The 17,922-nt window shown below is 58.6% G+C and overlaps 1 protein-coding gene across 1 annotated transcript in view; it reads left to right on the forward strand.

Moving 5' to 3' along the window:
* The first annotated feature begins 1,995 nt into the window (after positions 1-1,995).
* Positions 1,996-17,922, forward strand: part of WNT3A (Wnt family member 3A) — a 54,274-nt gene continuing 38,347 nt past the window's right edge. The window contains exons 1-2 of the mRNA NM_033131.4: positions 1,996-2,197; positions 17,665-17,906. Of these exons, the coding sequence (NP_149122.1) occupies positions 2,127-2,197; positions 17,665-17,906 (313 nt within the window). The 5' untranslated portion in view covers positions 1,996-2,126. The remainder of the gene's footprint in view (positions 2,198-17,664; positions 17,907-17,922) is intronic.

Raw genomic sequence — 17,922 nt, forward strand, 5'->3', positions numbered from 1 at the left:
GGGGCAAGAGGGCAGGACTGAGCAGGCTGCGCTCACCTGCCCCCTTCAGTGAGGTCACGAGGCCCATCCTGTCGGTGGGCAGAGCTGGCATCCTCTAGGGGGCTCTAATCCCCGAGCCTCATTTCTGGGGAGGTGGGGGTAACAAGAGTCTGCGTGCCTCAGGCTGGGCTCAGGCGCCCACCCCACCTGCAGCCCAGGTTTTCCCCAGTACCACAATTGGGTGGGATTTTTGCTGCAAGGCCAAGTCCAGAGGAGCACAAACACGCTCCTCCCCTCCCCCTCCCTGACCCCACCGCCGCTTCATTCCAGAGCTCTTCCCTCTTTCCCTCTGAGGGTGGGGGCCCCGCAGTGCCTGGGAGAAGCGGGTGGGCGGCCGGGCATGCGTAGCGGAAACTGGATTCCCAAGGTAGTGAGGAGCAAAGGGAACTTTTTTTCAAAGAGAAAGGCTGTCACTCTGAATTCAGGACTCCTGACATAGTCACCAGGTGACCCCTAGGGCCGGTGTCCACAGGACCACAGGCTCCCTCTGCAAACGCAGAACCAAGTTGTGAGTGGGGCACACTGTGGGAAGCAGCTGCCTCCATCAGCCAGCCAGTGACACACCTGGGGACATCTCAGCCACCCCCTCCCTGAGAAGCTGCACAGAAGCGGCCACATGCCCATCCCTGCCTCTCCATGCACCTCCCTCCCGCAACTCTGCAGCCGCACAGGAGGCCTAGCCCACAGGCTGGGCAGTGCAGTATCCCCAGAGAACACACCACGGATGAGTCTGGAGTTGCTTGGAGCTCTCAGAAGCTCCCGGAGCCTCCTTCCTCAATTCCAACGCGGTAACCAAGATTCCTGCTGAGCTTAGGTCACAGTGTGACTGCAGGAGGACCAGCCGCGATGGGAGAGTGCCTCTTAACCATCCCAGTTATCAGGTCCCCCGGGGGAGGCTGGGGACACTTCCCCTCTGCAAATTACAATCTCCCCAGGCGGCTCCCGGGGCAACACATGGATATGCAAATGACTGGGAGCTGGAGAGTTGACTGGTCACTGGGTGACCTTGGGCAAGTCACTTTCCCTCTCAGGTCTTCCCCTCTCCATCAGCAAACTCCTAAAGCTTAACTAAACAGTCAGAAATCCCTCTGTCGGAACAGGCTGCATAGCTCTGGGCAGACCTGGAGGTTGGTGGTCCCAGAACCTGGGGGCAGCACTGCGCTTCCCCACCGTCCCATCGCGTCAGGGGCTTCCACTGTTCTCTTCCCTGGTGGAGTGATGGGGAGAAAAATGGAGGGGTCAATCCCTGCGCCACAGAGAGAGTCCCACTCGTCCCCAGCTGTGACCCACAGACGCGTGGCTGCACCTTGGAGGTCCACCTGGCCGCTGTCCCCATTGCAGGCTGCACCCATCCCGGACCCTTTCTATCCGCCGAAGGCGCAGGCAGCTCTGGTCTCAGCGGAAGGAGTCCGGCCGCAGGCAGACGGGGCCAAAGGACGTGCACCCGACAACCGTCCGCTCCCTCCCCAAACCCCCGCCCCGAGAAGGTTGATGGATGAAGGGGAGCCCTAGCCCAGCCACCTCGGGGGCAAGAGACGGAGCTCGCCACAGACCAGGAGCGAGAGGGGGACTGCGGGTCCCACCGTGAGCGCAGGGCGCGCGGGGCTGGAAACCCAGGACGCGGCCCGGGAGCTCCAGGAGGGCGCCTGCGGATCGCGCGGCCCCGGGCCGGCCGCCTGCCCATCTGGCGCACCCCAGCGCGCCGCGCACACCTGGGGGCCCGCACACCAGCACGTCCTCAGACACACCGACACCCACGGCAGCAGGCGGGGGCCAACGCCGCCGCCGCGGTTCGGGCTCCCGTGGCCCCGCCTGCCCCTGCCTGCCCCGCCCGGGCCCCGGCCCCGGCGGGCGCCCCCCGCGGCGCTGCCCCGCCCCCGCCGCCCCGCGCCGCCCCGGGCCTCGGCCCGCAGCCCGGCCGCCGGCCCACCTGGCGCAGCGCCGCCCTCGGAGCCCGCGCACACCCGCGCACCCGCGGCCGCAGGAGGGCCCAGCGACGCCGCCGCGCCAGCTCCCAGGGCCCGGCCCCCCCCGGCGCTCACGCTCTCGGGGCGGACTCCCGGCCCTCCGCGCCCTCTCGCGCGGCGATGGCCCCACTCGGATACTTCTTACTCCTCTGCAGCCTGAAGCAGGCTCTGGGCAGCTACCCGATCTGGTGGTGAGTGAGCCTCCTCGCGTTCGCCCCTGCCCCTGTGCGCCGCGCCCGCAGCAGACGGTCCCCTCGGGCAGGGACCCCGCGGTGGCCCGAGCCCGCGCCCTTCTGCTCCAGCCCCGCGTGCGGGCCGCGGGCGGTTGGTTTTCCTTGACGGCCACTTTGGACCTGTTCAGGCCGCTGGGACGCGTGGGTGGCGGAGTTTCCGGAGACATTGATTCCCGAGCGGGGGAGTAGGGGAGGTTGCGGAGGTCCTAGCTGCCCCTGGCGTCGGACAGGGCGAGCAGTGGGCTGGGGAGAGGCTGAAAGAAGGTCGGCACGCACGGTCACCGAGGGGACAGGCAGCTCGAGGCCAGGGGACAGGCGAGGGAAGAGGGCCAGCGAGAGAGAATTCGCCGGAGACTTTCCTCAAAAACCGTATCTTACACACAAACACACACACACGTTTTAAAACAAAGTCGATGAGACAAGACTGAACAGCTCGGAGCAGCGTGGTTACGTAAAGAAAGCTGGGACCCGGCGGGGAGTGGCGCAGAGCCGGCGGCGGGGCGCACTGGGGGCCGGCCCTGGGCCCCGCGCGCCTCCCCGCCGCAGTCCGGGCACGGGGGTTTCCAGGGGCCCTCTCTGCGAGCCCTCCGCATGGGTCCACCTGGCAATGAGGGGCTGCTGTAGAGAGAGTTAAGGGTGAGTTAAGCACGGGGTGTGAGGGGCTCCAGGACCCTCAATCAGAAAGCGCTGTGCTGCGCCCTCCACACCAGAAAAGGCGCGTTCCGTGAGACCCTCCCCAGCCTGGCGATGGAAGTGCAGATAAACCAAAGGAAGGGTCCCGAAAGGTCTCTCTCAGGCCTCCCACCTCCACTGCACATATCCTGTGGGAGGGGGAACGGTGGCCACACTTTCGCCAGGGCTTGTGATCCCTCAGAGCCCTCACCAAGCAAGGATCACCCCAGTTCCGAATTAAGGGCGCTCTGAGATGCCCAAGATTGAGGAACACAAGTGGGAGGAATGTGGGCGCGCAGGGCCGGGCGCAGCGCTGGTAGGACCCACAGTTGGAGAGAAGCCTCCCCACAAGCATGCACACTCCCCCCCATCCTTCTCCGACGGCAGCCTGGAATTATAATAATTACGCCGAGGGGAAGGGGGGAGACCCAGCGAGCCGAGGTACATCTAATCCGATAATAATTTTTCTCTTCGAGATGGTTCAGGAGCGGGGGCTCCCGCGGTAGGGGCGCCGGGCCAGGAGCAGCGGGGAGGGGAAGGGGCAGCCCTAGGCAGCTGAAGGGCCTGGAAGAGGCCACGAGGCCGCGGGGACGCGCTTCGGGGACCCCCGCGCGCCCCTATTTCCGCGTGCCCCATTTCCCGTGCGGCACCTGCTGCGCCCAGTGGCCCACCTGAGGGTCAGGCTCGGGGCTCGCCTTGGGGTGCGGGGATACTGACGCGCGTCCAGACGGCCGCAGGGAGCCAGGGGCAGCGCGTCCGTCCGAGAGAGCCCCGAGGGCTGCCGGCTTACGCACCAGGCTTCTAATTAGAACCCGCCGCCGCGTTCCTGAGCGCAAAAGGAAGCTCCTTCGCCCCGCGCCCTTCCCATAAATGTCGCCAGCCTCCTGGCAACCCCGCGCCCTAGGATCTTTGTCTTGTCGGCCCTGAGGGTTCCTAGCCTCGGTCCCCATCCACCTCATATGCATGTATACCTCCTTTTCACCTGGGCCCCCTGTGTTCTACCCTGAATGGACCCTGAGACACCCTCGGGGACAGTCAGGCATTCTGCAGGGGAGCCAGGAGGAGCAGAGAAGTGAAGTCCCTGTACCCTCCGCACCCTCCTATCAAGAGTCCAGGACAGCCCTTTGGCCACACAGGGAAGCGGGGCATAGAACCCCACCTGACACTGACCGGGGTGGGTGGTGAGGACCCCTCCCCCATCCCCACCACCACTTTGTTCTCAGTAGGGTTCTCACACTTGGGGATTCTCTGCTTCCTGAGAAGCAGCCTCCCCTTGGGGGAGGCTGGCTCCCTGGGGACAAGTCTGCCCCCTTCTTGATCCCCTCTCTGCTCCCAGGCAGGCTGCTCGGGCTGGAGCAAAGACATGGCTTCCCCCAGGCATGAGCAGCACCCCGGCAGCATAGGGAAGAAGACTCACAGAAGGACGCAGTGCTGCAGGACCCCTGCTGCTGGACCCCTGCCGCTGGCATCCTACAGTTTAATAGCCTTAATAGCCGGGGAAGATTCTCTCTCTTTCTCTGGTCTTCTACCCAGTAGAGCATCTCCTCCTTTCTCCTGCCTCCCCGCATCCACCCCAGATTAAGCATCACCAGGGGAGGAGGGGACCTTGGCCCCTGCCAGGTGGGCTCCTGGTGAGCCCCAGTGGAACAGAGCAGGCTGGGGTGGGGGGCCTCCCTGTAACTCCTCACCTGTGCCCCCAGCCCCTCCCTAACATGAAGCCGCTGGCCCCTTGATTCTCCCCCCTCCACCATCACCGGCACATGAAAGTGAAAGTGAAGGGGAATCTCCTCACCTGGAGAAACAAACCAGGAAACAGCCCAAATCAGGGTAATTAGGCTTTTGAAGTTGGCAGAGGGAGAGGCAAAGGTGTCCCTGTGGCCAGCAGCCCTGTGAGAGTGTGAAGGGCCACCTGCCTCCCCAGGGCTGGGTGGCCCAGAGGTGTCTTATACCCACGCAGCAGATGCCAGTGGTCCCAAGGCTGAGCGGGTCTGAAATGCAGAGAGACGGGCCTAGCCTAACACTGAATGGCCCAGAGCTGCACAGATGTCCAGGGGCATCCATTCTGAGCTCATCCAGTGACAGAGAGGAGACAGGCAGGAGACCAGACCAATGCATATGCATCTGCCCACCTGCGTCCCATGAGGCCACAGACGGCAGGAACCTAGTGGCCCCAGCCTCCCAGCACGCCCCTTCTAAGCTGAGTTCTCAGGAACAAGAATTCTTGGAAGAGCCCACATGGACAGAGGACAGGGCAGCTGCGCTGCAAGGAGACCATGGCTCCATCTGAGAACAATCCCCAGGCACACCCGCACTCCAGGGCACTCTGAGCACCTCTCCCTTCTTCCCATGTCTGGGTTAACGGAATCTTGTCATCTCCCCAGGGACCCCACCAGGACCCTAGAGGTGGGCCTGTGCCTCCCGCCACCGCCTCCCCAGGGTCCAAGCCCACTTCAGGGCTTGCAACTGGATTTTGTTCATCTTTCAAGTCCCTCTGCTGCCTTTACCAGACTGGGCTGTGGCACTCCCGCCACGGCCACCTCCTGCTTCCGTTCTCAGTCCTGGCCCTCCCCTGGGACCCACACCCTCCCAGCCACCTGGAGTTGCTGCCAGGCCTGGCCATAGCCACCGTCGCTGCCTAGTGGAGCACAGCAAGCTCCACCCCTTACCCAGCCCTGCTCTCCCTCTCAGGCCGTTCCTTCTGCCCGGCCGTCACCAGCTCCTGCTGGACTATGGGATCCCAAGCACAGAGGCCTGGCTGCTTGCAGATGGCCACCCCAGTTGTCCCAGCGAAGTGCAGTGTGGGCTGTGTCCAGCCTTTTGCCTGCCCCTGGCCTGCTCCACAGCCTCGCTCATGCTCCCTCCAGGGTCTCCCTCACATCCCTCTGGGCCTCGAGCTTGTCACTATGACAGAAACACATCATGACCTCCATTTTTATAGGGCACCTCACACAGCCCTCAACAGAAGATGTAGGCCCTTTCAGGCCCCCACTCTCCTACACACTCATGGGTGCAAACAACCTCCTGGGCACAAGAGCTCAGCCCCTCCTCCTAGCCCTTCATGGGCTGGAGGGCCAGCACACTTGGAGGCCCTGCTCAGCCAGTGTCTGCACTGCACCACCGCCAGGCACTTCGCCCCTGTGTCCTCAGTCCTGGTGGGCCTCATTGTGGTGGGGAGACAGCCTGACTGGAAGAGGGGTCGGGTGAAGAGGCAGCTTAGAGAGGCAGGAGCCAGGAAAGGGTGCAGGAGAGAAGGAGCTCGGCTGGAATGATGGGTCAGGCATACGTGTGTGGTGTGTGGGCAGGTGGCTGCAGCATGGGTGTTTCGGGGACTGAGAGGGGCCAGTCGAGCAGGGCAGGGACATGGCCCAGGGTACCCAGAAGCTCAGATGGGAAGGGCCTTGTGATAGGAGGGATGGTTGCCACTCCCAGAGTCACCCTGCCTCCACATTAGCCTGCCACTGGCCCACTCCCTCTGCAGGCCTGGCCTCACCCTAGCCCCTTCTTCCTTCTCCCTTCGCCCGCATCTGTCTGTGTCTCTCTGTCTCTGTTTCTCTCTTCCCTGCCTCTGTCCCTCCATATCTCCATACCTTTGTCTCTCAGTTTCTCCCTGTCTGTCTCTCTCTCTTCCCTGTATCTGTCTCTGCCCGTCTCTGTCTCTATCTCTCTGTGTCTGTCTCTCTCTTTCAGTCTTTGTCCTGTCTCTCTCTGCCTGTTTCTGTCACTCTATCTCTTTTCATCTCTGTCTTTCTGTCTTTTGCAGTCTCTGCCTCTCGTCTCTGCCTCTGGTGCTGAGGACAGCAGTCACTAGCAAATAAAACTCGTGAAACGAGCTGAGTGGAGCCACCAGGCCAGCCCTCCCAGAGCTGTGGGATCTCAGGGCCCTGGGGGTGGCATTGCTTCTCAGAGCTGCCCACACACAAACCCCTCCTGAGGGTGACGGTCAGGAGTGGCCACACGTCAAGTGTCTGCAACCAGACATTGGCCCTGCATAACTGCCAGGATCCGTAGCCGCCTCAGGGACGCACAGCACCCTTCCAGAGTGCAAAGCTCCTCCTGCCTGGTGCTCGCACCTCAGGCACTGGCCAGCTTGGGCCCTTGAGGCCAGCTGCCCCTCTGACTCACGGGGCTTGTTCTAACGATGTTTGCTTCGCATAAGCCTCCTAGAATCTTTTGTAGCAGGGAGAGCAGGATGAGTAGATACAGTCATAGCAGCCCAGTCTTAGGGGTGGTGACTGCCCGGTGGCCACTTCTTCCACTGGGTCCCTTGTGCACATCACCGTACTGTGAGGAGGGAAGCTCCGGTGTCCAGCAGCCCTCCCAAGATACAGGTGACAGGGCTCCCGCCATCTCCATCCAGGGACCCCGTTGGGGCTTCTCAATGTGGGGCCTACCATGCAGAGCCCAAATGTGAATGCTTGGCCACCTGCCATGAAGAAATCAGAACAGAAATGGGAATTTAAAAAGGATTTGGTGACATTGTAGCGGTTTGACGGTGCTGCAACCATTTCTGTGGATTTTGTAATAATGGAAATTTAAAAACAAACCAACCACGTCCCTCTGTTGGGACTCTAGTCTGAGAAAGCCAGCCTGAAGCCACACCTGGAGTAATGGGGGTGGGGGGGCTCTCTCAATGTGGACCACTGCCTGTAGCCCTCATCCATTGGATTTTTGACCCAAACGTGAGACTTCTAACTTGCCCCCTTTAAGAGTAGTTGAAGGGCTGGTTGCTGTTTCTGTTCAGAAGACCCGCTTCATGTCTCTGAAGGCTATTGGCTGGGGAAGAAGGATTAGACTGTGGCTCAAGGGGCAGGGGCTGGGGCAGAGGTTGCAGGTGCCAAGGAGGCTGGTTCTGGCTCCCAAAGAGAAAAAGCTCCCTAGGGATGAGAGCCTGTGCCCCAAGTGGTACCAGGGAGGTGCTGAGCTGCAGCTACCGAGGCCGAAGAAAAGGAATGTCATTCACAAAGGAGACCTGTACAGCCCCACAGACAGGGTCTCGCTCTGTCACCCAGGCTGGAGTGCAGTGATGTGATCTTGGCTCACTGCAGCCTCGACCCTCATGGGCTCAAGTGATCCTCCCATCTCAGCCTCCTGAGTAGCTGGGACCACAGGCGAGCACCACCACTCCCAGCTAATTTTTGTATATTTGTAGAGATGGGTTTCTCTCTCTACAAGAAACCATTTCTCTCTCTAGAAGAAACCATGTGGCCCAGGCTGGTCTCGACCTCCTGGGCTCCAGCAGTCCTCCCATCTTGGCCTTGTGAGTAGCTGGGATTACAGGCTCGTGCCACTACGCTTGGCTAGTATTTTTCATTTTTTGTTGAGATGGGGTCTTGCTCCGTGGCCCAGGCTGTGCACTTTAATGTTGGACAATCCCCCACCCCACCCCTCACTGGTTACAGCCCTGAGGCTGGTGAGGGGCACATGGCCTCTTCCTTGGCCTCCCTACTGGCCTCCCCAGGTGACACCCTGGAGGTGTCTCTCACGTTGCTGCTTCCACATTCCTTCCCCGGCAAAACGTGCCGCTGCCGCCCAGGGAAACTGGCAAGTGCGTGGCCGCGGGCACAGGAGCCGCTGTGCCTGCTGGGACTCGTTCAAAGTATGTGTCAGTAATCCCAGCTGGGCCGGCGGGCAGGAGGAGGTGCGGGTTGGGAGAGCTCCAGGCAGGGCTGGGCAGCCTGGACTGGGAAGGGTTGCCGACACCCAGGAGGGACCTGGGGGCCTTAAGTCCTGGGGACCCTGGCCGGCTCACAAGGTGCTTGAGCTGCCGAGAGTGGTCTTCTAGGCAGCTGCAGTTCCACCACTGGGTGTGAGAAGAAACCAGAACCTTGGGGGTCTCCCAGGCAGGTGGGTGCCCTCGGGCAGTCTCAGCCTGGGCGAGATGGGAGGTCATCCACCAACAGGGAAACACTTCGAGCCTCAGGTCTGAGGAAGGAAGCCTTATCACCGCCCATGGAGTGGCCCTGATCTTAAGAAGACAAAGATTTGGAACAGGATGTTTGCTCCAGAGGCCCCACAGAGGGGAAGCCCACCTGCCCAAGCAGGACCCTCAATGGCAGAGACACCCACCTGCCCTGGTCCTCCACACCTGCCTGCATTGCAGCTGTGCTGGAGCCAGAGGGGTCCCAGGAGGCGACCAGCTGGACTCAGGGCACAAATTGCATCCTGGAGGGGTGGCCCTGGCAGGTCCGCGAGTGGGGTGCACTGGGTCCCTCTCAGGCCAGGAGGAGGCTGAGATGACATCCAGCAGGGCAGCAGGGCCTGAGATCAGTGTCCCCATTCCATGCACTGCTCCCCTCCTCTCTCAGAGCTTCAGGTAGGAGAGGGGTCCATTACCCCATTTGACAGATGGGGAAACTGAGGCCCAGGAGGGGAAAGAGAGAAAGAGCAAACAAACAAGCGAGTAACAGGGCCCGAGTTGGAGCCCATGCCCACCTTCCAGGCCTGTCCACACGCCTGCATGGAGCATTACTGTGAGGTCCCCACGCCCCCAGCAAACATGCAAGCACAGAGCCGTGCCCTTGGTACATGGGTGCTCTGAGTTCGCTAAATTTTACTGCTAAAAGACACCAGGCCTGGACTTGAGAAACCTAAGAGCCTGCCAGCCTCAGAAGGACTTGCACAGGAACAGTGGAGGCTGGATATGGTGGCCACTCAGGACCCCCACAGCTGTGTGGCTGCGAGAAGGCCCCCACGCTTTGCCCTGAGCTTCCATCCACAGGGATTAGGTAGCACCTCCAGTGCCGCCACGTAAGATGGGAAATTGCACATGGGACCAAACCAAGCCGGGGAGGCCAGCGTGGCCCGGACTGGGCTGGCCTACCGCCCGCCTTGTGGTCCTGGGCCAGCCTCCTTCTTCCCCTGCATGTCACAGCCAGCATCTCTGCCGTACCTCTGGCGAGCTGCCCAGCCTTTCAACAGAAGTGAGGGAGTGGGGAAGAAAAACCATTAGTGCTTGTGGGCTGGAGGCATGGCTGCTGTGACTTTGGCCACAGGCGGAAGCCATGGGTCTAGGGACTGGGGCCATTTTATAAAACTACATTTGTGTGTGTTCTGAGTGAATATGACAGCCTCCCCTTCAAAACAAACGATTGTTAGGAAAAAAACAAAACAAAACAAAACAAAACCTAACAGCATTAGTGAAAATCTGGAAGGAAAGACAAGTCTGTGATCTTATCAACTTTTTCAACTTTTTGTTTTTCTAAGGATAGAAACAGTTTGTGTTCTGTTTTTGAAAACTCACTAAGCATCATCTCCATTTCTGGGGCCTTCTGGATGATCACACGATGGTTCCACTAGGTCTTGTGGTGCTGGTACTGCGATCTGCTAGCCCAGCCCTGCCGTTCCCTCCAGAGCTGGGATTCCAGGGAAAGGGGACAGAGCAAGAGAGGCTGGAGATATTGGAAGAGCAGGGTCACATTCCCTTGGGACACCAATTTTGCACAGCCAGAGGGATATCTGGTGTCCCATCCAGTTGGGCAGTTAGAATTCCAGCCACTCAGCTGTGTGGCAGCTGGACGTGGGAAACATGGACTCTTCCTGGGACGCTGTGGTGTTGGCAGTGAGAGGGGAGAGGGAATGAATTCCTCATCCGGTGAATCACAGGCTCGGGGTGCAGGGCATGGGGGCAGGGAGGGCAGGCTGGCCTCAGCCTCTCCCCGGGGACTGGGCCCAGCCTTCCTGCCCCTGCTGTTCCCACCACCCTGAGGCAGGGCCCAGACCTCACTGTGATCCAGATCGTTGGCATCCAGGAAGTGAGTAGGGAGTGACGGATGGCAAGACCACCACCCCCGCCTCCCCCCCACCCCCGCCGCCCAAGTGCTTACCTGTGGTTCCTTGTGTGAGTGATCCTCAGCAAGGACCCTTCGTCCTTGACCAGACACTTGTTTGCATGCCTACAAAGCGTGGGAGAGGTCGAAGGGGAGATTGGAGAATTCATCAGAAGCCCCAGAAGCCCAAGTGGGAGCTCCTGGCCCTGCCTGCTGGCTGGGGCCACGCTTGTCTTAGGGCACCAGGCAGGACAGTGGCCAATCGTGGCTGCTCCGCCTGAGGCCATGAGCAGGCAGGAGCCACGGACTGACAGCCAGTGCTCAGGGTCTGTCTGTGCCCGTCACCTTCTGGGCACCCGATGTTGCCCCTTTCTGTCCCCCGCATGTGCTTTAAGCGCCTGCTACTACCTTGCTCTTTTGGGGATCCTACTGACTAGAGGGTGGAGGTAGGTCCCTGACCCCCCAGGGTGATTATCAGCAAGGCTGACTCCCCAGGGACTCAACCCAAGGGAGCCCCCAAGGACCCTCAGAGTCCTCATGAAGACAGACAGGGGCCATGGAGCAAGTTTAGACTCAAGGAAGCCATAGAAGTTTCCCCGTCAGCCTTAGAATGTCCAAGCTAGAGGCAGCCTGGGTGAACCCAGCACACATTCCCTGTGGCACTCACGCTCCTGGGGCCACCCTGGGAGGACCCTGTTCTAAACCACAACTGCCCAGTTCAGTTGGGGAAACTGAGGTTCCAACAGTCCCAAAGCTGCAGGTGCAACTGTTAGGGCCACCACCCATGTCCCCCTGGGTGGCCTCCTGGGGTGGAAAGGGGGCTGCATTGGGGACAGGAAGCCCTATGATGTCTTGGGTCATCAGCTGCAAGGAGGCTGTCCAGGGTCTGTGTGACTTGCGCCATTTATCTCTGACTCATTTATAAATGTTATTTTGCAGGGACTGGGGTTTCATACGTGTACTTGTCCATTCTGCATTGCTATAAAGGAATGCCTGAGACTGGAAAGAAAAAAGGTTTAATTGGCTTAGGGTTCTGCAGGCTGTACAAGCATGGCACCGGCATCTGCTGAGGCCTCAGGGAGCTTCCACTCATGGTGGAAGTCAAAGGGGAGGTACGTGTGTCACACGCGGGAGAGGGGGCAGGGGAGGGTGCCAGGCTCCTTCTAACAACCAGCTCCTGCATGAACTCAGAGGGAGAACTCCCTCATTACCGCAGGGAGGGCACTGTGCCATTCACGAGTGATCTGCGTCTGAGACCTAAATGGGTGGGGCCCACTAGGCCCCACCTCCAACACTGGGGGTCGCATTTCAACATGAGATTTGGAGGGGACACACATCCAAACTATATCAACACATTTGAAGGGCATTGTAGGATCTTAGAAAGCAGTGGCCCCTGGAGGCCAACATGCGGGAAGCCCTGTTCTGCTGTATTAGCCGGTGGCTGTGGCAAAGCTCCATTCCCTGAGCCTTGGCTTCCTGCTCTGGGAGGTCCCAGTGCCACCTATCCAGGTCCTGTGGGTTTCAGGGAGCCACATAACTAGAGCCCGTGGGGAGGTCACCAGTGAGCTCTGCCCAGCAGGTGGAGGCCAGGTAAGGGGCTGGGTGGTGGTAGTAAGAGGAGCGATGCTGGGTATTGGAAGGGAGAAACAACCAGCTTCAGCAAGCCTCCCTTTCAGAGACAAGAGTGCTGGAAAGGTGGAGAGGCCGCAGGAGGAGGGAAGAGGAGGGACTAGCTCTCTAAAGACCACAGTGGCCAGGCGCGGTGGCTCACACCTGTAATCTCAGCATTTTGGAAGGCCGAGGCGGGAGGATGGCTTGAGTCCAGGAGTTCAAGACCAGCCTGGGCAACATAGACAGACACCATCTCTACAAAAAATACAAAAGTTAACCGGGCATCATGGCACAGGCCTGTGGTTCCAACTACTTGGGAGGCTGAGGCTAAGATGGGAGGATCCCTTGAGCCCTGTAGGTCAACGCTGCAGTGAGCCCTCAGCCTAGACGACAGAGCAAGACTTCATCTCTAAAAAAGTAAATTAATAAAATTTAACAAATAATAAAGGCCATGGCAGTGGGCTGGCGGAGACAGCGGTGGCTCGGGCCCCTGGAGCTTGCATAGCAAGATGCTGGAGGTGGCAGCCTGGCCTTCAGATCCTTCTCCTTCTCTGGGTCTGAGAAGCTTAGGTGTTGGAACTCAGAGGTGGTCAGGAAATGCCAGCATGAGCAGGAAAGTGAGAGGGAGTATCTGCTGGCTCCCAGTGCTGCAAGACCCTATCTCTACAAAAAATACAAAGCAAGAGAACAGCACGGGGGCTTTGCCATTGGCTAACGCAGACTGACCTCCCCAGTTTGGGCATGAACATCCTTTTCACGTTCCAAGGTGGGATCCGGGAGTCCAGGTTGCATTGTATTTGATGCACCCTGAGAACTTGCGCTGAGAACAGGACCCTGGGGACACTCGATCTCGAAGACGGGGTTCTCATTCACTCTCCATTTGCAGAGCCCCTCCCCCACTCACTGCAGCCAATACTCCCTGGCGAGACCCTGAGACAGGCCTGTCTGTCCCTTGTCCCAGGCAAGCCTGGCCCACAGGGTGTGGGAGGAGGAAGTTACAGGTCATAGTTTCCCAAGCACTGATGGATTCCGGGCATCTGCATTCTCCTTGGATTAGAAATTTGGATCCTAGGAGCTTTTGGGGGCTGGTGTGGGGATAGTGCCTGTGCAATTTAGATTTTTTTTTTTTTGAGACAGGGTCTCACTCTGTCACCCAGCCTGGTGTAATCAGAGCTCACTGTGGCCTTGTCCTCCTGGGCTCAAGTGATCCTCCCACCTCAGCCTCCCAAGCAGCGGGGACTACAGGTGTGTGCCACCACACCCAGCTAACCTTTGTATTTTTGTAGAGATGGGGTCTTGCTCTGTTGCCCAGATTGGTCTTGAACTCCTGGCCTCAAGCAATCCACCTGCCTCAGCCTTCCAAAGTGCTGAGATTACAGGCATGAGCCACCATGCCCAGCCTTATATTTGATTTTCTTTTTAATGACCCAACTGATCCTTCAAGGCCCAGCCAAAATCTGGTGGCCCAGTGAGCCTCCAGGGCCCTCCTCTGCACTGCTCCCTGGCCCCACAGGAGCTCCCCGCTGCCTGCCAGCTTTCCACCCTCCTCAGGCAGGGTCTGTGTGGCCCAGGCCTTCTGGTGGCCTGGTGCTATCAGAAGGAGAAATCTCTCAGGAAGCAATTCAACGAACTGGAGGGGCCCTCTGGTCCACAGGAGGCAGGAGAAGCCCATCCTGACCCCAAATCCACAAGGGCCCGTCAAGGGAGGGGTCCCATCAGGGCTGTGAGAGGCCAGGGATGCTGGAGCCACCTCTGGCCTGGCAGCTGGCCACCTGCACCCTGGCCATACTCAGGAAGGTGGTGGGCCAGGGCCCACCCGGGAGGAGGGTGAGAGGGGCACAGAACTGGCTGACTCAGCACCCTGAGAATGGAGGCTTCAGACTTGGGAGTCCACCTCTCTGCTTTATCTAGAGACCAGGGACAAGGCCGCCCCTCCCAGCCCCGAGCCTGCGAGCTGAGGTGGTCCCGGCTCCATGCTGGTCATAGTGTTCTGGGGGTGGGCAGAGTGACAGCCCCCAAAATGAATCCAGCATCTAGCCTCGGAGAAGGGATGAGCCTTGGAAATGGCCGCATCCCCCAGGCCAGTCCCTGTTTTGTAAGCAGCAAGCTCTAAGTGGATTCCTTTGTTTCTCCTCATTCTAAGTCTCCAAGTAAAAAGGACATTCAACTACTCTTGCTTTTCCTTCTTTCAGACACCTCTTGCTCACTTCCCTGGCTGTAAGCTAGGCTGGCCCTGGAGCCTGGGTACCCGGCCCTTCTCAGACACACTCCCAGGCCTCAGCCATGACACTCAAGTGTTTGTCCTCTACAACATTCCATTAGGAAAATTTTCAAACATCTGGAAAAGATGCAGCCTTTGGACATCAAAGCCTTGTGTGTCCACAGCTCACACTGAAGTCAGCCTGCTTTATCTCACACCCACCACCCTCTCCATTCTCTATCTATCCGTCTTATCTTTTTATGCTTACGTCAGTCTGCTCTGTCCCAAATACTGTAGCAGGCACGTCCTGAACCAGTGCTGGATGTTTTGCAAGTAACATCCCACATGGAGTCACACCATAGAATGGGTGAAGGGGAAGCATCTGGGTTCATGGAATGGAGGCACCTCACCTGGGGCAACCACCTCACCCTGGCTTAAAAATGGAAGCCCCTTGCCTGGGCACGGTGGCTCATGCCTATAATCCCAGCACTTTGGGAGGCCAAGGCAGGTGGATCACCTGAGGTCAGGAGTTTGAGACCAGCCTGGCCAACATGGCAAAACCCCGTCTACTAAAAATACAAACATTAGCCAGGCATGGTGGTGCACACCTGTAACCTCAGCTACTCGGGAGGGTGAGGCAGGAGAATCGCTTGAGCCAAGAGGGGGAGGTTGCAGTGAGCTGAGATCACACCACTGCACTCCAGCCTGGGCAACAGAGCGAGACTCCGTCTCAAAACAAACAAAAAAGGAAGCCCCTGCAGTCCTGGGCGAAGCAGACAGTTGGTCTCCCGGCCTCACCCATGGGCACCCCCAGGCCCCTCTGCTGGCGTTCCTGGGTGCTCTGAGGTGCATGGTTTGAAAACCACGAGTCCAGCCCCTACGGTCACCTCCCTGGCCTGGTTCAACCCACCTTCTCCTGTCCAGAGGCCTCTCACCCACAGTCCAGGTCACAGACAGCTGACCTTGGTCACCACCACTTGGCCCTGGGCAGTGGCAGTGCAGACCATACCCCAGGGACCCCGGATGGTCATCCAGTTGCCGGGACTCAAAGGAAGAGAGAGGATGAGGAAGGAGACATGGAAAAAGACTACCCAGCTACCTACAGCAGGAACACCAACCCAGGCTGCATCAGCACTTCCTGGAAGTGCTGGGATCTACAAAATGGTGGAGGGGGTGTGCAGGGACACCTGGGGCAGGATACCTGCGTGTAGTGAATGAATAAAGAAGTGAACAAGGGAGCCGACTGTGCAAGGACAGACTGCAGGGGTGCAGGCTTGAGTGGTGGCCTGGGGATGCACGTGGGGTCTGGCGCGAGGTTATGCACTCAAATGAGGGACAGACAGGAGGGAGGGTGACTAGGGAGAGGGAGGCCAGATCTCCAGGGGGTAGACATATTGGGGACCCTGAACACTGGGAGTCCGGTCCGGAGGCCAGACTGGTTGGATCCAGTGGACACATCGACAGGTGGTCATAAGCATAAGGAACTCTCTCCCTCCACCCACCTCCACCAGTGCCCAAAAGGACCTGGTGATTTCTTTAAATTGAGGTGTATTTTGTACAGCAAAATGGAAGACCCTAAGTGCATGGCTCAATTCGTTCTGACGTGAAGCACTCACATAACCAACATCGCAGTCAAACGCAGAGCACTTCGGCCAGGCTGGCCTGGCAGAGCTTCCCTGATGACAGGCACATTCCCTATCTAACTGTCCCATTCAGGGTAGCCACGGGCCACACGTGAAGCATGGCTGGTGCCACCGAAGGGCTGAGTTTTACATTTCTTGCATTTTAATTAATTTTAAACTTAATTACATTAATTTAAACGGCACAGGTGTCGAATGCCTTTTGCCAAAAGCAGAGCACAGCCTGGGAGCTGTTGGGACCTGGAAAACGAGGAGTGAGGTTGCCACGGTGCTGACCTCTCCCGCGGATGAGTGTTGCCTGGTCTTGAGCTCAGACTGGGGGATGCGGAGGGCCCCAGGAGCATCTCACAGTTGAGCCCCTCCTCCCCACGTGCTCACGGGAGCCCATGCCTTCGGGTTTCTGAGCAGCCTGGCACCCTAGAGGCAGTCTTCATTTGTTTATTCACTCTCCTATTGACGGATGCTTGGGTGGCGTCCAAGTTCCTGCTCTCAGGCTCAAAGGCCTGGGAAGATTCCTGAACACGTCTCATTGTGGACACGTGTTTACATCTAGGGGTACATAGCCAAAAGTGGGCCTGCGGGCTGGCGGGATGGGTCTGAGTTCCACAGTGATTTCTGCGCTGGGTCACGCCTACATCCCGGAAGCCAGGCCTCCTCCTCCAATCCCAAAGCCAAGGGCATCCCTTCTCTGGGCAGCCCCCACCTGACCCGGTCCCCAGCCTGAGGTTCTCAGGTTCTAGCCCTGAGTCCCCCATTGGGCTCCAGGTCAACCTGGTGTGAACGGGGCCCATGCAGTTGTGCTGAGCAGGAATGCGGGGCTGCATCATTTCCTGTTACAGATCTGGACGACTTGAATTCTGAGCTGAGTTTTGGGGATAGGGCAGGTCAGGGTCCTGGCCTTGTAAAATCAGACTTCCAGATAAAACATACAGAAAAACACATAGATGATATCAAAACATCTAGAAAAAATTAAATAGCCAGCATTGAGTATTTATTCTGCACACAACATTGTATTAAGCACTTCCTGTATAACATACAGGCTTAAGAGCTGGGCAAGGTGGTTCATGCCTGTAATCCCAGCACTTTGGGAGGCTCTAGCGAGAGGTCACTTGAGGCCAGGAGTTTGGGACCAGCCTGGGCAACATAGCAGGACCTTGTCTCTACAAACTGTAAAAATAAAAATTAGCTGGCTCTGGTGGTGTGTGCCTGTAGTCCCAGCTAATCTGGAGGCTGCAGTGAGCCATGATCATACCACTGCACTCCATCCTGGGCAACACAGTGAGATTCTGTCTCAAAAAAAGAAAAATTAGAAGGCATGGTTTATGAACATTATTTTAGAGGCCACAGAGAATCCTTAATTGGGCTTTTAAGTAAAAATTCTCTTACTTGCAAAATAAAAAATCAGATTTCCTTCATGGTGGAAGCTGCGTCTCGCCCCCCGAATGCACTTGAGGCCCCAGAGCAAAGGGTCTGTAGCCTGCTCATCTGTGTCGCTGTCCCAGCCCCACACTCACCACCGGATCTTGCCCTCTGCAGGTCGCTGGCTGTTGGGCCACAGTATTCCTCCCTGGGCTCGCAGCCCATCCTGTGTGCCAGCATCCCGGGCCTGGTCCCCAAGCAGCTCCGCTTCTGCAGGAACTACGTGGAGATCATGCCCAGCGTGGCCGAGGGCATCAAGATTGGCATCCAGGAGTGCCAGCACCAGTTCCGCGGCCGCCGGTGGAACTGCACCACCGTCCACGACAGCCTGGCCATCTTCGGGCCCGTGCTGGACAAAGGTATGGGGGTGGTCTG

The sequence above is a fragment of the Homo sapiens genome, chromosome 1 (assembly GCF_000001405.40).
Source record: "Homo sapiens chromosome 1, GRCh38.p14 Primary Assembly".
Taxonomy (NCBI): Eukaryota; Metazoa; Chordata; class Mammalia; order Primates; family Hominidae; genus Homo; species Homo sapiens.